The following is a 26,417-nucleotide window of genomic DNA, read 5'->3' as shown; positions in this document are numbered from 1 at the left end:
GAAAAACAGAGGTTCTCTAACATTCATGAGCAGCAGAATCACCATGACAGGAATGTGAGGTGCAGGATGGGAATCAAAAAGATCATACTCTCAAAGAAATGTATGGCCATCTTTGGTTAGTAACCCAAAGACTATATACTGCCATAGTTGCTGCAAGTGAATACATTCATTCTTAATTTAGTTACACACCATGTGTTTATTGCGCTCCGACTTTATGCCAGGCACTGGGCTAGCATCTAGGTGAACAAGCAGTCACAGCCCATATCCGCAAATGCTTTTCGGTCCACAGGTGAGAGAGCTATTAAACATAAACAGACACATAAAATAGATAATCACAAACTGTGATAAGGTCTGAGGGAAAGCAATAGGGTACAATTAGAATAATAAGTAAAAGCTTAATTTAACAAGTCATGTGGGGCTGGCCAGGCAAGGGTGCTCTGAGAAGGTTCCAGGTAATCCTGAGGTCTGAAGACTGAGTGGGGGGTCAGTGCCAGGTCAGTGTGGGGTAAGGAGTTATGCCTCTCCGAATCCACTTTCCACCTCCCTCCATTCGTCTCTCTGCTCTGAGGCTGATCTAAATGGACTACAGCAGGTGGTTGTATCTCAGTGGTCCTCACCTAGGGGTTATTTTGCACCCCAGGGACATTTGGCAGAGTCTGGAGACATTTTTCATTGTCATAACTGGGAGGCATCTAGCTGACAGAGGCCAGGATGCTTCTTGCTAAACATTCTACAGTGCTCAGGATAGCCCTGTCCCAATACAAGGAATTATTGGCTCCGAATGTCAATAGCGCCACTGTAGAGAAACCCTGAGGAGGGAGGAAAAACAATGTCAAGGGTTTTATTCTCCCATTCCTGCCCCATAGAGTTAGCCTCAGTTGACTGCATCTCTTGCCTGAATGTGCCCCCTCCTCACAAAACGGGTGACTCTTCTGGACTCACTCCTTGTTGGGTCTAGGAGTGTTAAGCACTATCCACTGTGATTCCTCTATACCCACATGTTTGTAAACCGTCCCTGTGTAAATAAATGCACCTCAAATTATCCTTTTAAACTATGCCATCTGTTTCTTGTTGGGACCCTGAGTGATGCAAGTGTGTTCTGGCAGAAGACAGCCTGTGTGGGGACTCCACAAGCGGAGCCAGGGGAGAGAGACTGCTCCTGCCAGAGACACCACATAAGGCAGAGAGGCAGGGACACGAATACCTTGGCTTCTTCCTTTCTCCTGCCTTCCAGTATCCTGCAGTGCCTTCCATTGGCTGAAGCCAGTTGAGAGACAGCTAACATGAGTGTCTGAAAATGCAGGTCCCAGGAGTCAGTGAAGGGCAAGGATGGATCTGAGGGTAAATAGGCCCGGGACCTGCACAAGGAGAGCAGCCCTACAGTGTGAATATTAGAAGGTTACTGCAGCAGTCTGTGGAGAGCCTGATGGTGGTTTGGATTAGGGTTGATGGAGCCAGAGAGAAGGCAAACACGTGTCTCCCATTGCCTTTGGACTTGTAGTTTGGGAAACACAAACTTCCATGTTACAAGGCCAGGAGGGTAGTGAAGGGGAGGCATGCATGTGTAAGGCCATCTGGAAAGGGCAAACAGCTTCTTTCAGGCCTAAAGCCATTACCAGGTTGGAATGTGGCCCCAGTACTGCCAGATCCTCAAAGATTCCAAGAGAAGACAAGTCTCCAGATTCTTACATGAAAATTTTCAATTTTTAAACAGTGACACTAATGAAAACACATGCACTGTGAACTGAACTGGATTTGGCTCCTGACTCTAGAGTCTAGAACAATGAGTTTGCAACCTCAACCTACTGAGGGTTGTTACAAATGAGGCGTCTATTAGACAGTTCCCAGCTCTGCTTCGGTCTCTCAGTCTCTCTTTTTCTTTTTTAAATGCAGGATGTATGAACTAGATCCAGTGTTTTTTTTTTTTTTTTAATGCTTTCCAACAAAAAGTACAGAAACAAATTTTATTCTGGGAATGACAGAACCACAACTGTCACCCATAAGTCAGGATTGAAAATGTCTGGCTCATCCAAATAGCCACATTGTGTTCATTCTTCACTTTCACTATAAAAGAATGGTACAAATGTAAACATGCATAATGTATTTATCATTAATAAAACATTGCTTTACAGATTTTATACACTGGACTCTGTGAGATTGTTTTGAGGAAAAGAAAAAAGGTTTTTATTTAAAAACATTGAAAACAAGTAGGCTAGATGAATGCCCTAAAGGTTGGTGATTGGAAAACTGATAACCAGAAGGCCTGAAGCTCAGGGCTAAAATGGTCAGAAAAGCTTGTTTGTCAGTGGCAGTCCTTATCTATAATTGACCTATTCACTGTGTTAAGGCTTGTGCAAAGGCAGAATTTAGGGCTTAATTACTCCAAGCAAAGTCAACAAATAATTGTGAAACTGTATCTCCAGAGGAGTGCTGATGTCAGGGAAATCAGACCTGCAAAGAGGGTGGCAACTGTAAACCTGGAGACCATAGTCCAACATATGACAGAGGCTGAGACAAACAGGTTTTTTTGGGGGGGTTTTTTTTGTTTGTTTGTTTTTGTTCTTTTTTTAGACAGAGTTTCACTCTTGTCACCCAGGCTGGAATGCAATGGTGCAATCTTGGCCCACCACAACCTCTGCCTCCCAGATTCAAGTGATTCTCCTGCCTCAGCCTCCTGAGTAGCTGGGATTATAGGCACCACCATGCCTGGCTAATTTTTTTAGAGGGGGTTTCACCATGTTTGGCCAGGCTGGTCTCAAACTCCTGACCTCAGGTGATCCACCCTTCTCAGCCTCCCAAAGTGCTGGGATTACAGGCATGAGCCACTGCGCCCTGCCGAAAACCAGGTTTTAATAGGAAATGAAAAGTGCAAGACCAGCTCGGTCAGGGATACCCTAACCCAGCGGTGCTAGAGGAATTAAAGACACACACACAAAAATATAGAGGTGTGGAGTGGGAAATCAGGGGTCTCACAGCCTTCAGAGCTGAGAGCCTCGAACAGAGATTTACCCATGTATTTATTGACAGCAAGCCAGTGATAAGCATTGTTTCTATAGATTATAGATTAACTAAAAGTATTCCTTACAGGAAACAAAGGAATGGGCTGAAATAAAGGGATGAGCTCTGGCTAGTTATCCGCAGCAGGAGCACATCCTTAAGGCACAGATGGCTCATTCTATTGTTTGTGGTTTAAGAATGCCTTTAAGCGGTTTTCCTCCCTGGGTGGGCCAGGTGTTCCTTGCCCTCATTCCGGTAAACCCACAACCTTCCAGCGTGGGCGTCATGGCCATCACAAACATGTCACAGTGCTGCAGAGATTTTGTTTATGGCTAGTTTTGGGGCCAGTTTATGGCGAGATTTTGGGGGCCTATTCCCAACAGAAAAGAAGTTCAGTAACAAAAAGGAAACCCCCAAAGCTCCAATTCCCAGTGAATCAAATTGTTTTCCTGTTTTTGTGTTCCCTTTTAGGCATTATTCACATGCAAAATGATTTCTACAATATAGAAATGCTGGTAGTAAAGTTGTGATGCACGCAGATGGAGATGGACGTTTCGTCCCTTTCAGACCTTAAAGTAGTAATGATCCTGCTAGGCCGGGACTTAAGGAGGATTCGTTGGGCTGCAGAATAAAGTTCCAGATCCTTAACATGGGAAATAAACAATAATCAGTTTCTCACTTTCCCATGAAGCCTCAGCTCTCACCACACATGCACTGCTGCTCTTGGAGCCCTGTGCTTTTTGTGCTGTGACCATACTTACCTACATTTCCTTACCTCATCCCACCAGACTGTTCCATGCTCCCTTGAGCATATGCCGCCACTTCCTTATGGAAAGTTATTTCAGGCCTACATTTCAATTCTTCCATGAAGCCTTTCTCACCCTCAGGTAGAACTGTTTCCTCCTTATTTCTCTTTACAGTTTGTATATTGCCTGTAGCAATTCATGGAACATGTTTAAAGCCTGCCCTAGTCTTCTTAAGGGCTGGGTCCATGAGGGATTTATGTGACTCTCTCCCGTGCCTCTCCCAAGGCCTATCCAGTGCCAGGTACAAAAGCAGTACCAGATAACTGTTCAGTGACTGAATGATATCTTCGCTTTGTGGAATTTTCAAGGATGTCAGAGCAAATTTGTAAGATTGTTGCATTCAATCATTCACCAAATTTTTACATAATGTACTCTAGTATATTTTGGGCATTTGCCCAGGTGCTGAGGATCCACTGATAAACAAAATATCATCCTCATCCTCACACATTTTAGAGGGGGAGACAGAAAATGAACATATCAACATTTAATATGTCGAAAAGAGTAACTGCTGTAAAGAAAAACAGCCAGTGAGTAAGGGATAGAGGTGATGTGGGGTACTATTTTAGACAGGCTTGTCAAAAAGTCCTCTCCAGAGTTCAGTGAGTTCCGAATGAACTGAAGTGTGAATAATGCACACGTTAAGGAAGAGAGTTGCAGACAGGAGGATCAGCAAGTGCAAAAGCCATGAGGTGGAAGCATTCTTGACTTGTCTGAGAAACTACAAAGAGGCCAGTGAGGGAGAGAAGGAGCTAGGAGTTGGAGCATGTGGGGCCTGGCAGGCTATGATAAGGAATTTACATTTTATTCCCAGTGTGTTGTCAGCCATTGTGGGGTATTGCATAGGGAAGAGACATGGTGTAATATAAGTTATCACATGGCTGCTGTGATGGTTAATACTGAGTGTCAACTTGATTGGATTGAAGGATACAAAGTATTGATCCTGGGTGTGTCTGTGAGAGTGTTGCCAAGGAGATTAACATTTGAGTCAGTGGGTTGGGAAAGGCAGACCCACCCTTAATCTGGGTGGGCACAATCTAATCAGCTGCCAGAGCAGCTAGAATATAAGCAGGCAGAAAAATGTGAAAGGAGAGACTGGCCTAGCCTCCCATCCTGTATCTTTCTCTTGTGCTGGATGCTTCCTGCCCTCGAACATCGGACTCCAAGTTCTTTAATTTTGGAACTCGGACTATATAATATATATATTCCATTAGTTCTGTCCCTCTAGAGAACCCTGACTAATATAGCTGCTCTGAGAATAGACTATAGAGGAGGAAGAGCACAAGCTGAGAGACTTAAAAATGTTTATTCCTAATATTGTTCATTCTTGACTGCTTTAGTGATTCACCGATTCATTCAGTATTCTTTGATTCAACAAAAATGTATTGAATTTTTACTATGAACTCTTCTGGGTATGGTGGATATAGACATAAATAGAAAGGTCCCTGCTCTCATGAAACTTACACTCTAATGAGGGAGGTACTCCCCACTCCAAGTAAGATTTGAGATTATACAGCCCTTCTGGCTCTTCTCCTTCACCAAGGCCTGCAGCTGGACTGGGAAACTCCTGACTGCAGAGGCACAGTAGAAGTGCCATTATCATTGCCAGGTCAGCTTCTCTGCAGCACTTGGAGAATCATGAGAATCACCTTTTCTTCTGGAACTCCAGGTCTTCTGGTAGTTGGGCAGTAGAGCTGTACTGGAAGCTGCTATAGCTGTGGCCACCTATCCTCAGAGATTCCTGCAAAAGAATTGCCTTAAACCACAGAGAACCTGGATGTCTTTTACATCAGAGTGCTAGTGTTAATCTGATGAGACAATGACAATCTTAAGCACTGGCAAGACTTCATGAAAGACTTCTTTAATCTCCTTAAGATAGCGACCTCACAGGGAATGACTGGCTGCTGTAGAATTTGGATGAGCCTGAGGGCTTTACTTATGAATGACATGTTGCACACTCAGCCTTGGAAATGGCTGCCTGCTTGTAAAGCCATTGTGCTTCACTGACTCTGATGGGCTACTCTGGAGCAGGGATGCCCAACAAGGGCCAGGAGGGATCCATGGGGAGACTTCCCCACAGAGGTTTTTCTTCTGTGATTGCAAAGTTTAGACTGGAATAAATTTCTCTTTAGTGGTTTCATTTAGGAATGTAGAAATAGGTTAAATTGAATTTGAATTGTTTTCTTTAGTTTCAAAAGACATGTCAGAATGTGTTCTTCTTCAAAATATTTATTTAAGAGACTCGATTTAGCTTTGGGAAAGTGAATGGTTGTTTCTCATGTCTAATGCTAGGAAAACTTAGGCAACTATCATAGAATGGATATGATTAATTATATACGTCCTTAATAAATATGGTTTCTTCCTATTTTTCTACCAAGCACTATGTTAACTATTAGGGAGGATGTTATGCCTGAGACATAATTTCAGCAAGCTCTCAGTCTAAGCAGAGACCATAACCTTTATTCAACAACCAACTTAAATGTGTTATTTTGACAAAAATTTTGAACCATCTGTAATTCACAGTTTCTTTCTTGTGATGTCTTAATATAGTGAATTGGAGTCTCCAGATTTTAGGAAACTTTTTATGGGTTTTACAGTGTTTACTTAGTCTTTGGCCTTAATTTCATGATGTGTACATTTCCATCTATTAAAAATCAGAATTACCAGCATGTTATTCACTTAGCTAAAATAAGGACTTACTTAGGCTTGCTATGTTTTGTTTTTGATATTCTGGAATATATTCTGACAAGCTTTTGAGTGGGGAGAAGAAAAGATAAGTGCTGTTTATTATTTAGTAGTACCTTACTAAACTCAAAGATAAGCCTTGAGATGCTCTAATAAGGGGAAAAATGGAATACCTTCCTTTATGTTAGAAGCAAGTGATGTTATTGAAAGATTGCTGAAGTTTTAGTTGGCATATCTCAATTTTTCCTACAAACTGAGTGTGAATAATATTTAATGGTAGAATGAGATAATACCCAGAATAGGTAAACAAATGTTAAAGACCATAGCACAATCCTGCACCTAGTAGACACTCAGTTATTTAGTGTTAAACATGTGGAACTGAGAGAATTAATTTATACTTACATATCCACTTCATTAGAATAACAATGAGTTCACAGAGTTCATTACAGAAAGTTGTATGAGGTTCACACATAAGGGAAGGAGGTACTTGCTTTATTGATTGAGAGAGTGTTTTCTATTTGACTGTTATATTTATTAGAAACAGAATCTTCTTTCCATTTAATTTTTTTTTTTTTTTTTTTTTTTTTTTTTTAGAGTGGACCTTGCTCTGTCACCCTAGCTGGAGTGCAGTGGAATGCTCATGGCTCACTGCAGCCTTGACCTCCTGGGCTCAAGTGATTCTCTCATCCCTACCTTCCAAGTAGCTGGGACCACAGGTGCATGCCACTATGCCCAGCTAATATTTTCTGTAGAGACGAGGTTTTGCCATGTTGTCCAGACTTGTCTTGAACTCTTGGGCTCAAGCTATCCACCTGCCTTGGCACCCCAAAGTGCTGGGATTACAGGTGTGAGCCACTGCACCTGGCCCTTCATTTAATTTTTATAAGTTTTGGTAGTTGAACTTCACTTCTAGTTTGTCTATTCCAAATTCATCACTGCAAGCTCTTGCAAGTTCTTGGTGTTACTTGTGGTAGTGAGTAACCTGGCTCATTTTTCTATTTGTATTGTAGATCTTTGGTTAACAGTCTCTTCATTACCATTGGCTGGTTCCTTTTGTACGTTTCTAGACATTTCTCACAAAATATATTGCTGACTATGATATGTGTGTGTATGTGTGTGTGTGCACACATTTCTGAGCACTCTGATCACCCCAGATAGAAATAATCTCTTTTTTCCAAGTATTCATTGCTTTATTCCCATCACTGTAATGATTTAGCAATTTAAAAATCCCTCGCATTATAATCATTCATGTCTGTGTCTAAAAATCATTGAGCTCCATGAAAGAGCAGAAGCAATATCCGAACACGTTTTTGTCTTGATCATGTAGAGTAGATGAATTCAATGAATATTTGTTAACTGGATGAACACGTGTGCTTGTTTGTGCATGTACACATGCATTCATAATATCATTGTATTTCATTTCTATAGATGACGTCTTCAATCAGAGCGTACATCAGTGTTTGAAAAGACTACTACCAATATTCCTTCTACGTTGTGTATATGAATGGGGATTTCAGTTTAGGGACTGTAGCTATTTGAAGAAACTCAGAATTTGTCTCTTAAATTCACGGTTGGCCTAAAGAGCCTGTGCTCAAAAAGGAGAAGTCACATTCCTTATAGCGGAACATCAGGTGTCCTATTAGCTGCTGTTTCTCAGCAGTTCACAGCCATGTCACATTTTTAAAAAGCTGTGTATGCCACATCCTTGAAGGGCTTCTTCTGCCTTTTCTTTTTGGGGATTTCTCTGCTTCAGCTTACAAGGTCATAGCTGCTCTGACTGCCACCTTTCCATAGGCTCCACACAGGACAATAATGATTGGACAGTGATTTAGTGCTCCCGTTCTGAGTGTGTGCAAAGACCTTCTAATGAGGGATACATCTTTTTAAAAATTTTTTTTTTATTATGCTTTAAGTTCTGGGATACATGTGCAGAACGTGCAGGTTTGTTACATAGGTATACATGTGCCATGGAGGTTTGTTGTACCCATCAACCCATCATCTACATTAGGTATTTCTCCCAATGCTATCCCTCCCCTAGTCCCCCACCCCCAACAGGCCCTGGTGTGTGATATTCTCCTCCCTGTGTCCATGTATTCTCATTGTTCAACTCCCACTTATGAGTGAGAACATGCGGTGTTTGGTTTTCTGTTCCTGTGTTAGTTTGCTGAGAATGATGGTTTCCAGCTTCATCCATGTCCCTGCAAAGGACATGAGCTCATCCTTTTTTTTCTGGCTGCATAGTATTCCATGGTGTATATGTGCCACATTTTCTTTATCCAGTCTGTTATTGATGGTCATTTGGATTGGTTCCAAGTCTTTGCTGTTGTGAACAGTGCTGCAATAAACATACGTGTGCATGTGTCTTTATAGTAGAATGATTTATAATCCTTTGGGTATATACTCAATAATGGGATTGCTCTGTCAAATGGTATTTCTGGTTCTAGATCCTTGAGGAATCGCCACACTGTCTTCCACAATGGTTGCAGTAATTTACACTCCCATCAACAGTGGAAAAGCGTTCCTATTTCTCCACATCATCTCCAGCATCTGTTGTTTCCTGACTTTCTCATGATCACCATTCTAACTGGCTTGAGATGGTATCTCATTGTGGTTTTGATTTGCATTTCTCTAATGACTAGTGATGATGAACTTTTTTTCATATGTTTGTTGGCTGCATAAATGTCTTCTTTTGAGAAGTATCTGTTCATATCCTTCACCCACTTTTTGATGGGGTTGTTTTTTCTTGTAAATTTGTTTCAGTTCCTTGTAGATTCAGGATATTAGTCCTTTGTCAGATGGATAGAGTGCAAAAATTGTCTCCCATTCTGTAGGTTGCCTGTTCACTCTGATGATAGCTTCTTTTGCTGTGCAGAAGCTCTTTAGTTTAATTAGATCCCATTTGTCAGTTTTGGTTTTTGTTGCTATTGCTTTTGGTGTTTTAGTCATGAAGTCTTTGTCCATGCCTATGTCCTGAATGGTATTGCCTAGGTTTTCTTCTAAGGTTTTTATGGTTTTAGGTCTTATGTTTAAGTCTTTAATCCATCTTGAGTTAATTTTTGTATAAGGTGTAAGGAAGGGGTCCAGTTTCAGTTTTCTGCATATGGCTAGCCAGTTTTCCCAACGTCGTTTATTAAATAGGGAATCCTTTCCCCTTTGCTTATTTTTGTGAGGTTTGTTGAAACTCAGATGATTGTAAATGTGTGGCATTATTTCTGTGGCCTCTGTTCTGTTCCATTGGTCTATATATCTGTTTTGGTACCACTACCATGCCATTTTGGTTACTGTAGCCTTGTAGTATAGTTTGAAGTCAGGTAGCATGATGCCTCCAGCATTGTTCTTTTTGCTTAGGATTGTCTTGGCTATATGAACTCTTTTTTGGTTCCACATGAAATTTAAAGCTGTTATTTCTTGTCATCTGCTACCTTTTGAATTTGTTTGCTCTTGCTTCTCTAGTTCTTTTAATTGTGATGTTAGGGTGTTGGTTTTAGATCTTTCCCACCTTCTGATGTGGGCATTTAGTGCTATAAATTTCCCTCTAAACACTGCTTTAGCTGTGTCCCAGAGATTCTGGTATGTTGTGTCTTTGTTCTCATTGGTTTCAAAGAACTTATTTATTTCTGCCTTAATTTTGTTATTTACCCAGTAGTCATTCAGGAGAAGGTAGTTCAGTTTCCATGTAGTTGTGAAGTTTTGAGTGAGTTTCTTTCCTTTTCTTTTCTTTTCTTTTCTTTTCTTTTCTTTCTTTCTTTCTTTCTTTCTTTCTTTCTTTCTTTCTTTCTTTCTTTTGTTTGAGATGGAGTCTTACTCTGTCGCCAGTCTGGAGTGCAGTGGTGTCATCTCAGCTCGCTGCAACCTCCGCCTCCTGGGTTCAAGAGATTCCTCTGCCTCAGCCTCCCAAGTAGCTGGGTTTACAGGCACACACCACCACGCCCAGCTAATTTTTTGTATTTTAGTAAAGACAGGGTTTCACCATGTTGACTAAGATGGTCTCGATCTCCTGACCTCGTGATCTGCCCACCTCAGCTTCCCAAAGAGCTGGGATTACTGGCGTGAGCCACTGTGCCTGCCCTTGAGTGAGTTTCTTAATCCTGAGTTCTAATTTGATTGCACTGTGGTCTGAGAGACTGTTTGTTATGATTTCCATTCTTTTGCATTTGTTGAGGAGTGTTTTACTTACAATTATGTGGTTGGTTTTAGAATAAGTATCATGTGGTGCTGAGAAGAATGTATATTCTTTTGATTTGGGGGTGGAGAGTTCTGTAGATGTCTATTAGGTCCACTTGGTGCAGAGCTGAGTTCAAGTCCTGAATATTCTTGTTAACCTTCTGTCTCATTGATCTGTCTAATATTGACAGTGGGGTGTTAAAGTCTCCCACTATTATTGTGTGGGAGTCTAAGTCTCTTTGTAGGTCTGTGGGTTGAAAAGACTGGGAAAAGCATATTATCTGTGCTGGAATGCACCGTTCCTCATGGCATGTTCTCTTGTTCTCTTATGGCTTCTCTTGGCTATGGGAAAGAGTTCCCTGACCCCTTGTGCTTCCAAGTGAGGCGATGCCCCACCCTGCTTTGGTCTGCCCTCCGTGGGCTGCACCCACTGTGTAACCAATCCCAGTGAGATGAGCCCGGTACCTCAGTTGGAAATGCAGAAATCACCTGCATGCTGTATTGATCTCGCTGGGAGCTGCAGACCAGAGCTGTTCCTATTCGGCCATCTTGCCACCTTATCATTGAGTTCACTCGCATTTTTTTCTTAACCTCTCTGAAAGTTGAAATTTCAGTTAGATATGCACAGATGTCAATACTGACCCATGGCGGTCATTTGTGATCCTGAATAAATGACTTAAACTCTCTCTAAGTCTCCGTTTTCTTGTATATAAAATAAGGACAATAACTCTACCTACCTTATGATACAGTAGTGAGGATTGTATTGTAACATGGGCCCAGGCACACTGTGGATGGTTGATAGATGTTAGAGATAATCATCAAGAAATGCTGTGTGACTAGAGCAAATGTCTGTAAATCATCAGCCAGTGATGGCACAGAGGATGCTTTCAACAGATAATAGCTAAAATAATGATGATATTAATGATGACATTTGTGATAATAATGATAAAAATGATAGCGACTTTGACTTATCATAAGGTAGTATTTGTTAAATGACTCAAAAAGCCAGAACTGACTTTAGCAGTGAATCCTATTCTCATTGCCTTATGTTTTAATTTGCAATGTAAATGTTTGGTTTGTATATTTTGCCTAGAAGACAATATAGTTGAAGATATTCCACTGCTTTCCTTCTTGTTTTAACTAGGAAAGTGATCTCTTTACTCTCATCCAAACAAGATATGTTTTCCGTCACTTTTAAGTCTATTCTTATGAAATCTCTGTCTAAATTCTGTTCATTGAGTCATCTGAAGACTCTCTTTTCCATTTTGTTACAGAACCATAATTATCATGTGATCTAGACCTGATACATTGTAGATGAAGAAACATGTCGACAGAGCCACTATCTGCCCAACATCTGATGGGTAGTCATAGTCACAGTGGAACTGAGACTAAGGTTTCCATTTTTATTTGACTATGCTTCTTCCCAAGGTAAATACAGGATTTGAGATCCATATTTTCTACTTGCATGACTGTGTTGAGGTTTTTCCTTTTCAAACAGGAGACTTCATTTTTTTTTTGTTTCACGTGTAGGGATTCATTTATAGATATTTTTTCTTTCAAGTGGTCCAGTCTAACAATAAGATCACAAACTCCTTTTTGATGGTGACCATTTCTCAGATTTCTTTTTCTAATCTCTAGCATAGAGTTTTATACTGATATGCTACTCAGTGATTTGCTGGTTGAATTAATTTTTAATTAAATGAAAAGAATGTCACACAGCTCTAACAGTGACACTATTTTTGCTCAATTATTTTTTTTTTAAATTTGTTATCTATTTCTTGTGAAAGACTATGTCTCTGAATATTTGCTGACAAAGTGGCTGAATTTTATCTGGGAAATTTCCAGTAAGAATCACTGATGTCCTGAATAGTATCTCAGGTGTAGACTGGCAGATAGGCTCAAATTTCTTCAAGTTTATTATTAGTTCTATAGTGCTGCTTCAACACCTCCAAATAGCATATGATCAACTGTATCTCCTTTTGAATATACACTTTAAGAACATTATCAAACAACAGAAAATTAATGCTTCTGGGCCATTGGACAATGTTCATAGCTTACAACGTTATGTCAGGAAATTTTAATCTAAGTGTGGGTTACATCTCTCATTGCAATCAGAATGTTCAATATCTATTGAGTGACTGTCATCTACTAAGGGTTGTGCTAGGCACTGTCACATACATTATCTAATTTGTTTCTCATGAAAAGTCTGTGAAGTGAATATTATTATCCCTATTATGACAGTGCCTAAATTGGGAAATGAAGAGGCCATGCGATCTGCTCAGGTCACACAGACTGGCCTATACATATTTCTAATAAGCTTTGAAAGTATTTATGCATTATCTCAAAAATGTTTTAATTATCTTGCACTCATATAAAGCATATGTTGAATTTAACTACTATTATCATTGCACTATTTTCATGAATTTGGACAATTTTCAAGATCAGATTTTTATTTTCCTGTTTCCTTGTCAAATGTAGCATTGCAATATAGGTGAAATAGCATGTTTAGGATACTCTAAGAAAATATTTTTTGTTAATGATTTGAAAATCCAGCAGATTTTTAGACCAGACATAAGCTACACATATAAATTTATGCTGATAAGTATTTGGCTTAAAAATGTAAGACTAAATACACCAAATTCATATTATTAATTCTGATTATTACTCTTTTAAGTGTTTGTATACGATCATCATGTATTACTATTACTTGTACTATTGTTTGATAAGACAGACCCAGAATTCACCAATTAGTTAGATGATTGAAAAAGTCTTCTCATATAAATGTTTAAAAATAAGCTCTTTAATATTAGAAATTTTTAGCAAGTAGTGATGGCAGACTTGTTTATAAAAAATTATTAAACTTTTATTTTAATTTAATTACACAATGTTTGGCTCATATTTTGCTTCTTAGCCTACCTCAGTGACTGCCTTTTGAGCACCATGCTGACAAATTACGGTCAGAGGTGAGAATAGCCCCATTAAAGGTTGCAGGAATTGCCGCAGAGTGGGAAGTTGAATTTCCAGACCAAACTCAAATGTAGTCCATGGTATCTTCATGCTTTTTTCATGCTTCTAGGATAAGGGAAATTGGAAATGCTACAGATGTGTATGGATTGAAGTGTGAGTAAACCTGAGGATGTCTGGCAAGAATAACTTTCTTTATCTCACACACCAGCTTCTGCTGGGATCTAAGAAAAGGGCGTTTTCTATTAGCATCATTGTTCAAAAGACACATACACTAATTAGATTTTTTAAGCTGCTGCTACCTGAGGAGGCTTAATCTTCTTTGATATTATTTTACAATAGACTTTCCCTCCCCCCGTTATCATTTGTGAACTACATTCAGACTTTCAAAAAAAAAATGCTATTAGGATACTGAAAAGTTGTGTGGAACTGTTTTTATTGTGGCAGATATTTTGTATTTGGAATCAAAGTACGTTTAACCACAAAGGGACATAATTTTGCTAGTTGTGGGAGGTTCCCATTCCAAAACAAAAGCAAAAGCAAACCCGTACTTTTATAAGCTTAATAACAGTTGGTTCAAAGTACCGTTGAATTCTAATAGTAGTGCTCTGTCCACTAGGAAGAACTTTCAGGAGACCAATTTATCTACTTTTGTTTGATGTGAACACAATTGTTTTCTGAATGTAAAATTGACTCCTGAGCAAGAAAAAAATTAAAAGTGATTGCAACATGATGCTATACATTTGTCAAAACCCATAGAAATGCACAACGCAAAGAATGAACCCTAATGTAAACCATGGATTTTAGTTAATAATGTATCATTATTGGTTCATCAGTTGTAACAAATGTATCACATGAGTGCAAGATATTAATAATAGGGGAAACTATGGGGAGGGAGTAGGGTATATGGGAATTCTCTACACTTTTCTGCTCAATTTTTCTGTAAACTTGAAGCTGCCCTACAAATAAAGTCTATTAGTTAAAAAGAAAAGTAAGTGGAAGGTAGACCCCTTTTCTTACATGAAGTTTAAAGGTCAGAAAGTTTACCCTTATTGGGAACTGTTAGTGTTTTAAATTCGCAGCATTGCCAATCACTATGACTATGGTAAGCTGTGGGCTCTGTGTTTCCCATTCCAACAGCATGATAAAAGATATTAATTAAAAACTGCATTTGAGAAGTAATATTGAGAAATTTTAATAGTTTTCTTTTCCTCAGGGCTTCTCAGCACCTTTAATTTATTAATGTAATATAGAAAACACCCTGTCACATGGCAAGAGTAATGCCATCTTGAAGCAGAACCAAGATGGGTTTGGCTACTGGATAGTAGCCAATGATGACTGATGTTTGGCGACTGGATTCTGTGTTCCTGCAGCAAGGTCAAGAAACAATGCCTATAGCATAGAAAAATCCCTCATAAAAATGTTTATCTAACTTCCCCAGTGGTCACAAGTTTTGCAAGACAGTCTGACACAGGACTAGCTGCACATGTTTCACCAAAAAAAACAAAACAAAACAAAAAAAAAAACAAATGCTTGCTACATAAGAATACTTTCTCAAGTGAGGGTACAGGGATTAAATGTTTCTTTCTGAGAAACTGGATGTGGTAGCCTCTTTCTTTGGCCTCTCAGCTTCCTTGGCCTTTGAGGGTAGGTTTGCATAGACCTGCTCACTGTAGTACGTGTAATAAAACATGGCTTTCCAAAGGGCAGCTATTATATGCAGCATTTCTGAAACTTTTGAACTGTGGAATAGTTTTTGCAAAAAGCCACTGTTCCCCAAGTAGAATACACTTGGGGAAATCTTATATTCTAATAGTATCATGAAAGATACATGACTGACTCTGAGGGAAGGCATTCTGTGAAATCATAGTGAACATGGTACTCAAAGAGTAAATGTGGACCCTCCACCATCCCCTCATATTGTATCAGTCAGCATGTTCTATTGATTCAGTTCCATAATTTTGCTAATTTTGCTTGCTTTTTATCAAACCCTTTCCATCCCCTTGCTACCATCCTAATTCATGACATAATAATCTAACTGTTGAAAGTATAGCTAGGTGACACTTCTTTAATGACATCACTCTTTTAAGGAACTCATGACTTCTTTCTTTTGCAACTCGTTCTTTCACAGTTGCTATCTCTCAACTTCCATCTGAGGGTTCAAGTCTATTCTAGATTATAGGATAGGATGGCCAGCTTCTCCAGTTTGCCTGGGATTGAGAGATTTCCTATGATGTAGGACTTTAAGTGTTAGAACATGAGAAATGCCTGCTAGAACCTGAGAAGTACCTGGCAAATGGAGACCAATTGGTCACCCTACTCCAGGACCTCTTTTGACAAGAGACCTTAGGGCATTAGTTGGTTTCACTGCTACCCCCTTAATTCACTTGAGAATTGGATTCAGAAAGTGTTCTTCAGCACCTTCATTTCCTTCTGCATCCGAGTCCTAGCACTGAATTAGTCCCTGCAGCTGAACCCAGAAATCTCCTTACTGCCACGCTTTTCTGAAAACCTGTTTTTTAAGAGTCTGAATTCTCATCTGTTGATTGCTATGTAAATCTCCATCAATTGTCTGCCTCACTCTGAGGGTTAGGTCTCTTAACATCCTGGTGACTCTGGCCTTTCCTATTGCTGTGGCTGCTTGGGTCTGAAAAATCAAGATTCAGGGTATGGGACTAGATATTCAGGTTTAGGAACCCTAACTTATTGGCTCATTCAGCAATTTTCCTCTTTCCCAAGAGGAAATTTAGTTAAACATTTTTTATGGCAGTTTAATTTACATAGAGTGAAATGCACAGATCTTAAGAATTACACTTTGAGGAGTTTTGACGAATGCATATACCCATATAACTCACATCTCTATCAAGATGTAGGACCTTCTCATCACTATAGAAATTTCCCTCTTGCTATCAACATGGTCCTTGACTGTTTGCCTCCTCCTATCACAGACAAACACAGCTCTGATTCCTATCTCCATAGAATAGTTTTGTCTGTTCTGAAACTTCATGTAAACATATATATATAGTATATACTCTTTTTTGTCTTATTTCTCACTCAGCATGTTTCGAGATTCATCTGTATTGTTGCATGTTTCAGTAGTTTATTCTGAAAATGTAATGTTCTAAAGTTTGTATTTATAAGGTAAGGAAGATCTCCTTGATTGGAGAGCAAGAGATATTCCTAAACATCTTTAGTCCTATCTCAGACTACACACATGCCATTAAATAAATAGATTTGCATATAAAAGATACTAAATACATTTCCATGCTTTTGAAAATAAGAACTTACATTGACTTATTTAAGACTCTTCCTTCAAAAACTCTTATGATTGATAGAACTGATAAGATTCAAAATTCAAGTCAGACTTCTATATTACATACAGTTTTATTTGAAAGCACTTTGAAAAAGAGTTTGAAGCAGTTAAAGTGTTTTTAGACCTAAATACAAAGTTCAAATATGTGATATTGTAACAGAGGTTACCTGCTTTAATATTGTATATATCACAACATAACACTCCATAATAATATTTGAAATAAAAAGTTTTGATAACTGTAAAAAAGAATTGTAAACTGCAGATAATTATAATTAACCATAAATGTTAACTGATCACCTACCATGTATAAGATGATATGCTATACATGGAAAAGGAACTTTCAGGGGAGATAATGAGAAATAGAGGATTAAGTCATAATCAAGTACAAGGTGAGAATTTTTTTTTTTTTTTTTTTTTTTTTTTTTTTTTTTTTGAGACAGAGTCTCACCCTGTTGCCCAGGCTGGAGCGCAATGGTGCAGTCTCGGTTCACTGCAACCTCCACCTCCCGGGTTCAAGCGATTCTCCTGCCTCAGCCTCCCAGGTAGCTGGGACTATAGGCAAGTGCCACCACACCCAGCTAATTTTTGTATTTTTAGTAGAGACGGGGTTTTGCCATGTTGGCCAGGCTGGTCTCAAACTCCTTACCTCAAGTGATCCACCTGCCTGGGCCTCCCAGAGTGTTGGGATTACCTGGCCAAGGTGAGATGTTACATATTCACAAAGTTACAGTAATACAAAATACAATACGGTAAGTGCCAAATGAAAGTAAGTAGATACTTTTATGGGAGTTTATATGGTGAGTATGAATACATATAAACAGTGCCTGACAAACATAATAATCCCAATATGTATCTGTTCTTTTTTCTTTCTCCTTTCATTGAAAACATTTATTTGGTGGGGAGGGCTCTCAAACTGGAGTGCAGTGGTGTGATCTTGGCTCATGGCAACCTCTGCCTTCTGGGTTCAAGCAATCCTTCTACCTCAGCCTCCCAATTAGCTGGGATTATAAGCATGTGCCATCACACTGGACTAATTTTTGTATTTTTAGTAGAGACAGGGTTTCACCATGTTGGACAGCTGGTCTGGAAATCCTGACCTCGAGTGATCCACCCGCCTCAGCCTCCCAAAGTGCTGGGATTACAGGTGTGAGACACCACACCTGACCAAGAGTTTTGGTTTTATCCAACCGGGAATGGGAAATATTTAGGTACTGATGTTTTTAAACTAACTTGTATTGCATAATCAAATTTTAGAAAAGTAATTTTCCTGAAGTGTATAGAATAGACTTAAAAGATTTTTTAAATAACATAAATATAATTGAAATGAGTATGTAAGATCCACACCAAAATATATGTGGAAGGTTGGAATCTATCACTCTTTGTAACTAATACCAAGAATCAACATCTTTGGAAAATACTTCAAAAGAGTTTCAATGGACCTGGAGCAGTGGCTCATGCCTGTAATCTCAGCACGTTGGGAGGTCAAGGTGGGTGGATCACTTGAGCTCAGGAGTTTGAGACTAGCCTGGGCAACATGGTGAAACCCTGTCTCTACCAAAAACACAAAAAATTTAGCTGGGCATGGTGACGCGCACCTATGGTCCCAGGTACTCAGGAGGCTAAGGTAGGAGAATCTCTTGAGCCTGGGAGGTTGAGGCTACAGTGAGCTGAGATTGCACCACTGCACTCCAGCCTGGGTGGTAGAGTGAGACCCTGTCTCAAAAACAAAACAAAACAAATCAACAACAACAACAACAACAACAACAATAAAGAGTTTCAAGCCTGGTGTGGTGGCTCATACCTGTCTGTAATCCCAGAACTTTGGGAGGCCAAGGCAAGAGGATCACATGAGTTCAGGAATTCGAGATCAGCCTATGCAACAGACTTAGACCTCATCTCTGCTAAAAATAAAAAATTAGCCAGGTGGAGTGGCAGGCACCTGTAGTCTCAGCTACTCAGGAGGCTGAGCTGGGAGGACCCCTTGAGGCCAGGAGGTCAAAGGTGCAGTGAGCTGTGATTGCACCACTGCACTCCCACCTGGGCAACAGAGTGAGACCCTGTCTCAAAAAAAAAGAGTTTTATTTAACCAAAATTTTAGTTAACTAAAATTTTAGTAAAACAAGAGGAATAAATTTTCAGATCTGTTGTACAGCAGAGTGACTATAGTCAACAATAATGTACTGTATATCTTAGAACAACTAAGAGAGTAAATTTCAAATGTCTCACTACAAAAATGATGTGAGGTCTCAGTTATGTTAATTTGATTTAATTACTCCACATTGTATACATATATCAAAATATCACAATATTCTCCATAAATATGTACAATTATAACTGCCAATAAAAATAACATTAATAAAAATAAATTTTCAAAAAGCTTAAAAAGGAAACTAACACCTAACGGATGAAAATGATTGGTATTAACCTGTTTCTGGTTGCCATTCTTTTTAATTGCTGAGTAATATTCTATTAGGCAAATGCAGTTGTCCCTCAGTACTCTCAGGGGGATTGGTTCCAGGAACAACCTCTCCATACCAAAAGCAGTGGATGCTCAAGTCCCTTATATAAAATGGCATAGTGTTCCATCCTCCTATTATTTTAAATCATCTATAAATTATTTATAATAACTAGTACAAAGTAAATGCTATGTAAGCAGTTGTTATAGTGTACTTCTATTTGTATTTATTTATCTCTGTGTGTTATCTTTTATTCTTTTTCCCCTAATATTTTTGATCTTCAGTTTTTGAATCTACAGATGTGGAACCCATGAACATGGAGGGCTGACTGTATATCATAATTATCTGCTGTCTAGTTGATATATTTGGAGTTGTTCCTGCTTTTGCTTATTATAAGCAAAGCTAGCATAAACATTTATGTCCAACTTTTTTTTGGTAGACGTAGGTTTCCATTGTCTTGGGTGAATCCTTATAAATAGGAGTGTTGAGCCATACTTTGGGTGTAGGTTTATAATTATAAAAACTACCAAAATTTCCCAAGGTAGTTTTAACATTTTGTACTCCTACCAATATATGTAGGAGAGTTCTGGTTTTCCATGTCCTTGTCAATATGTGATGATGTTAGTCTTTTTAATTTTAGTCACTTTTGTGGGCATGAAATGGTATCTCACTTTGGTTTTAATTTGTATATTTCTGCTGACTAATGATATATAATACTTTTTCATATGCTTATTGGCCATTTATAAATTTTCCTTTGTCAAATGCCTGTCAGAGTCTTTTGCCCATTAAACAAAATTGTTTGTTCATGTTTATTATTGAATTGTAGGACATGTTTTCTATAATCTAGGATTTGTGTGTATCAGAATATTTTCAGCTATCAAGAGTATTCAGATATATGTATCATCTAGACTCTGGCTTGCCTATTCATTTTCTTAATGGTGACTTAGGATAAGTGGAAGCTTTTAATTTTGATGAAGTCTCTTTTTTTTTTTTATGGTAAGTGCTTTCTGTATCCTAAGAAATCTTTGCCTACTGCAAGGTCAGAAAGCCATCTTTAAAAAAAGTTATATTATATTTTAATAGTGTTATATATTTTAGCTTTTATGTTGAGGTGTACAATTCATCTTGAATAAATATTTGTGTTCACAATGTAAGGTAAGAGATGGCGTTCCTTTTTTCCTCATTCATGTTACGTTACTGGACATTCACTTTTAAAAAATTGTTTTATTTTATTTGTAATTGACAATAATTGTATATATTTATGGGGTATAATGTGATGTTTTGATACATGTATACATTGTAGAATGATCAAATCAGGCTCATTATCTGTCACCTCAAATATTTATCATTTCTTTGTAGTAAGAACTTTTGAAATCCTCTCTTTTAGCTATTTTGAAATAGGCAACATTATTATTAACTATAGTCACTGTGCTGTGCAATAGTACACCAGAGCTTATTTCTCCTTTCTAACTGAAACTTTGTACCTATTAACCAATGTCCCCCCTTTCCCTGTCCACCTTTCCGTCCTCCAGCCACTGGTAACCACCATTCTACTTTCTAGTTTTACAAGTTTGTCCTTTTTAAAATTTCACATATAAGTGAGATTATATGGTATTTGTCTCACTGTGCCTGGCTTATTTCACTTAGCATAATGTCCTCTAGGTTCATCTATGTTGTTGCAAATGACAGAATTTCCTGTTCTTATAAGTCTGAATAGTATTCCAGCATGTGTGTGTGTGTGTGTATGTGTGTTTGTGTGTGGTATGCATAATATATATACATTCATCTGTTGATGGACACTTAAGTTGTTTCCATGGCTATTAGAATAGTGCTGCAATAAATATGGGAATGCAGACATCTCTTCGACAAACTGATTTAATTTCCATGGGATTGGGGAACTGACTTTTGATGTCCAAACTTAGTATATAATACCTCAAAAGCCAGAATGCCAATTATTTTGTGTTATAAAGTTGTTTGGCTATCAATCCATATTTTTGCATGAGGTAGTTATCTTGCAGGTAGGCCCATTGAGAAGACTAGAAGATAGTCTTGATTGATTCTTGTTGAAATTGAAATTAGAGTAAAGGGACATCCAAACACTTATCCAATGAACTACAATGACATACAACTCACTCAAGCCTTCCTTTTTCTAAATTTTCTCCCCAAATAAAACAACAGCAGCAACAACAAAGACAACAAAAACGTATGCGTTTCTTACAGCTTTATGATGTGTTTCAGTGTCTACAGTACTGCTGAGTTTGCATCTCTTGCATGTTGTATCTTTCTGGTAACATATGGAAGAAGCTTCATATTCATATAAGTATGCTAGTTCTAAAACATAATGTGGAATCATTTACAACTCAGCACTACTTGGTAGCAATAAACAGAAACCCACCTCAAAAGAGTGTAAGCAAAAAAGGAATTGAATTAGATTACGTAATTTGAGAAGTCCAAAGGCTGGAGTTGGTTTAAGCGAAATTTGTATTGAAAATTTTTCTTACATAAAAAAGGTAAAACAAATTTGGTAAACCTAATTTTTTTTTATAGTGCAAGTAGTCAACTGTTGTCATTCTAAGAAACTATTATTTATGGATAGTAAAACTGTTTGGAGACTTTAAAAATACCCTATAACAGTTAAAGGCAGAGCAAATTACTGAAATAAAATTGCGATATTTGCCCCAAATAGTAACAGTACAATTTTCATCAGTTCTCTAGAAAATTATCTGCAATTAAAAAAAAAAGAATTCTGATGTGTTAACTCAAATTAATCAGTATTTTCTTTGTACACTCAGATTGCAACCTAAGTATTAGTCTGTTGAATTTGGTTTAGTGGATATTTATTCAGGATTTTTACAAAAACAAGGAAACAGAGAAGAGGAATAGTGCTGTGCAGATGACCTCGGGGTTCAGGCGACACTCAAATGCCTGCTTCTCCTCTGAGGTTATTACCATCTCTTACTTGTTTGACGTTTAGAGATACTACAAGAGATAGTTGAAAAGCAGAGGTTGCATTTCCAGTGGTGTTTTGCTCTGCTGGTATTTGCTCCTCCGTGCTGCTGTGCAAAGGGCCAGAACTGCATCGAATGGATCTTTTCTTCAGGTTGTGCAGGCTGGCTGCCTTGATGTCGTAGTTGCTGATGTTGGCTGCCGACGAACCTTATTCCTTTACATTTGCCTGGTCCTCATTTCACCGGAAAACACAGTAGCTGTAGCTGCACATAGACGCTTCCTCTTTCTGTTTCCCCCTCATCCCCCTCCCTAGACCTCTCTGGGCTTTGACGTCATGTGTGCTCCTTTCGGTTGCCATAGCAACCCCATTCCCCAAGCCCTCTGTCCGTCTCCTCTGGTAGGTTCCACAATGGTACAGGCAGCATCACGCTGCACAATGGTTTCCAGGCAGTGAAAGAGGGTGATTCAGCAAGCCACTCTTCTTCTATTTTCTTTAACCTCCCCTTCACTTTTTATTTTTATGGGGGTGGGTGGTGCTTGCTATATGCTTACCTTTTTCTTTTCTTTTTTCATTTTTACAAATTTCCTTTTTTGTCCTCACCCCTCAATTCCTAGGGGCTTGAGTGAGTTTAAGATTGGGTTTTCTTGGAAATCACCTGTCCATCGTTAATTTTAAACAATCTCCATATCTCCAAAGAATCTCTTCCATGTTAGTCTGGAATGTGGTTAATGAAAAACAAGTAGGGAGGATTTCTGGGGCAAACACTGCCGGATCAGGATCGTAGTTCTCAGGCACGGAATGGTAGGTGGCTCTTTGCTCGTTCTGGGTTCTAACCTGTTTTTGGAGGGTGGGGTGATGTCTATTGATTGCTCCTGGTGGGGCGGGAGAGGGAGTATGGAAGAGACGAGAGAGGTGGGGTGGAAAGCAGGTTAATCAAGTGAACTAGCTTTGAAGCAAGAAGCTACCAGTTTTTCCCTCTGTGCAGAACATCTCTTTCCAGACTTGGGCGTGTTGAAACCTTTCCATTTGGAGTGAGGGGTAGCAGAGGGAGGGAGGGAGCATTCTTATTGTGACCAGGGGTTTTTAGACCAATGCAGGGCTACAGAAGGGAAGGGAGAGAGAGAGAAACACACACACACACACACACACACACACACACACACACACACAGAGAGAGAGAGAGAGAGAGAGAGAGGAAAAAAAAAACACCAAACAGCTGTGCTTGTTAGAAGTGCTGACCTTAGTTCCATATCTGAAAAATGTGATGGGTTCCATAAAACATTAAAAATAATGTCTTTTAGTATGTATTTATGTTTACTTTTGTGAGAAGTATAATTTAAATATTTTAAGATGTATTTTACTAAGGAACAGTATTTATATATATATTAGATATAAAACTATTGGCGTTACTCTTGCAGAGCAACTCTAGGCTAAATCTGAGCCGGGGAGAGGAACACAGAACAGGGGTCAGGTTAGAGATAAGAGGAAACATTGGCACTGCAGTCAAATAGGTAAGGGGTCCCTTTAAGAAAGTGATCTCCTAGTCACAGCAGTCAGCTTTCTTTTTTTCATGGCAAGATTCCCAGGTATTCTGTGCTGGGATACTGTGTCCCCTGCAAATGTCAGAGCTCTTTTGAAAAAAAAATCAGAAATAAGTATGGCAGTATATTTGTTAGAATCTATGTATTTGTGCCTTCAACAAAATAAATGTAATTTACTGGAAAATCTGTAAGTAAATCAGGCTATAGATATTACAAGAAAACTATCTATCCATATATTTTTCTCACCCTCCCCAAACATTTAAATCTAGAGACCTAGTCTCTGCTTTTACCCCCTTAAACAGATAACTTCCCAGGGTACTGCAATTTAGCCACAGAAAAAGAATGGCTTATGCCACAGCAGTAGGCTCTGAAGCAATCACAAGGTTGTTTACATGGGCTGCCTTTGGTGCAGAGCCTGACAGTGTCTGTACAGCAGCCCTGCCTGCTTCTGGCCATGTTGATGATAACTTTTATGAACAAACTGCAAGGAAGCAGGCTAAGTCATATGGGATAGACTACAGTTCAGGTGGAAGGAAAACGAGTGTAAGTGCACCAGGCATTGCCAGCACAACATCCAATATCTCCTTCTATCCCTCATCGGCTAGTTGTCGGACCCTGGAAGATAACACAGAATGCTTATCAACATATTTAAAATAGTTGCAGTAAGGACCATTTCTCTCAGAGAAGCTTCTGTGAATTTTCTACTTTAGGTGAGCATATATGTTACAAATATATAACAAATAAATATATAAGTATATCACAAGCTTCTGACTCCACTTCAGAACCATTAGATTTTAGGGGCTGGATGCTTTGGATGTAGCGGTTTGGCTGCCTCTGGTATGTATTTCCTTCTCTACCTTGATCACACTCTTAAAATTGACATAAAGTATTGGATTAGCTTATTTTCTTATGTGGAGCAAACTGGGTTTTCTCTCCCCTACAATGGGACTAGAAAATCAGATGACAAAGGTGGTGTGACCTTAAATATTAGAGAGTCTTCATGCTTCCTCATTTGCCTGTCATTCCTCTGCTGTTGCAAAGTGTCTTTAATTTGAGGGGCTCCTGTTCTTAAAAAATCCTCACAGTTTCAGTAAAACGATTCTGGATAGTGAGGCAGTAAGAAATTATATGTAGAGTGGGAAAATCAGCTGCCTCCAGCTTCCTGCCTGCTAGCCCCAGAACAGCATCTGCTGTTGAGAGGAGTGTGTTTGCCATGCTGGAAGGGGATGTTTATGAACAGATCCCAGAGGGGCTGAGTGTGTTTTTGCTGTCATTGTCTGGTATGTCTGCAGCTATTAGTATTTAATGGTTTCATAGTACATGGTCTATATATTCTAAGGTTAGAATGAACTGATAATTTATTGTCAATGCTATAAAATGTAGATATTTTAAATTTATAGGAAAATTAATAAGATTTTCCTTGTTAGGATATCCTACAGGAACATCATAAGCAAAACAAATTTGCCCAACCTAAGTAATCTAGAAAAACCTCCCATGTTTAAAGGCATAAATATATTTTTAAGGTTTTATTGTGGTTTCATGTAAATGAATCTGTTTCTTTGGATGTAAGCCTAGTTATAAATTCTTTTTATACTGATACTAAAAGCTAAAGACAAATTGGGTATTTACTTGTTTGTTAAATATGGGGATAGATGTTCTCCCTTCATGCTCTAGTTCTGGCCTCAGGTCACATTTGTAGCCAAAGGACTTTCAGTGGAATTGGTGTGTTCAAATCGAATGATTGCTTGGTTGCTTATCAGAATAAAGGACTCAAAGCAAGAGAGACTTCCTTCAATTAGAATGAGAAGCAAACACATTGTTGTCTTAAATTCTTTCTTCATTGCCCTTTCTATTTCCTCTTACAGTCTCTTTTAAGCTTTTGGTTGGACATTGCAACAATCATGCAGAAAGAGGCACGGAAGTGTCCAGTAGTGACAAGAATGGAGTACAATGCTCTATTTGCTGCAGGACTGCTGAGTGCCTTCCTCCTACCACACATGCATCTATTATTGCACCTTCTTCTGAGGACCAAGGACTTGTGGAAAAAGTTGGGCCTATAGACTAGTAGGGGAGATGCTTACTGGTAAAGAAGAACAGAATCCATTTGCTTCTTTGGCATATTGGATATATTTATTGCATTACATAAGCCTGAGATGAGACACTGTACTGCTGATTCAGATAAAAAGATCATGCTGCATATTGATTGTTTAAAAAATGTAACTTAGAATTGGAGCCCATCTTTTCAGAAACCTGTACGTGTTTGCAGAGTGAAGTTGTAAGGTTTTGACTCAAGATTTTTCAGTTTGAGTACATTTTATCCTCATGAACCGATCAAGGCAAAGAAGGGGAAAATACAAAACCTGTGTTTTGCATATCTTTTGTTTTCTGTATTTAATAGGGAGAAGCTGTATTTCTTATTGTGAATCTTGGTAGAAACTCTTAAGAGGAGACATCAGGTAATATTGAAAATCACTAAATATAAACATTTTAGGTTTAAAAAGTAGACCTCACACATATACTATTTCTGGTAAAGGATTTTCTAGT

The 26,417-nt window shown here is 38.7% G+C and overlaps 1 protein-coding gene across 13 annotated transcripts in view; it reads left to right on the top strand.

Annotated features, from left to right (window-relative positions):
• The window catches only part of MAPK10 (mitogen-activated protein kinase 10), a 583,670-nt gene that overhangs the window by 211,284 nt on the left and 345,969 nt on the right, over positions 1-26,417 (top strand). For 6 of the 13 annotated variants that reach the window (NM_138982.4, NM_001318069.2, NM_001351624.2 and 3 more), the window contains exon 1: positions 22,738-23,133. The exons of 6 other annotated variants lie outside the window; for them this stretch is intronic. The gene's annotated coding sequence lies outside the window, so the exon portion shown is untranslated. Of the gene's footprint in view, positions 1-11,923; positions 12,078-22,737; positions 23,134-26,417 lie in introns of those variants that run through there. One more of the 13 variants, NM_001318068.1, reaches the window with a different exon arrangement.

Source organism: Homo sapiens, chromosome 4 (assembly GCF_000001405.40).
Source record: "Homo sapiens chromosome 4, GRCh38.p14 Primary Assembly".
In the NCBI taxonomy this organism is placed as follows: domain Eukaryota; kingdom Metazoa; phylum Chordata; class Mammalia; order Primates; family Hominidae; genus Homo; species Homo sapiens.
This window is presented reverse-complemented; position numbering and strand designations above follow the sequence as displayed.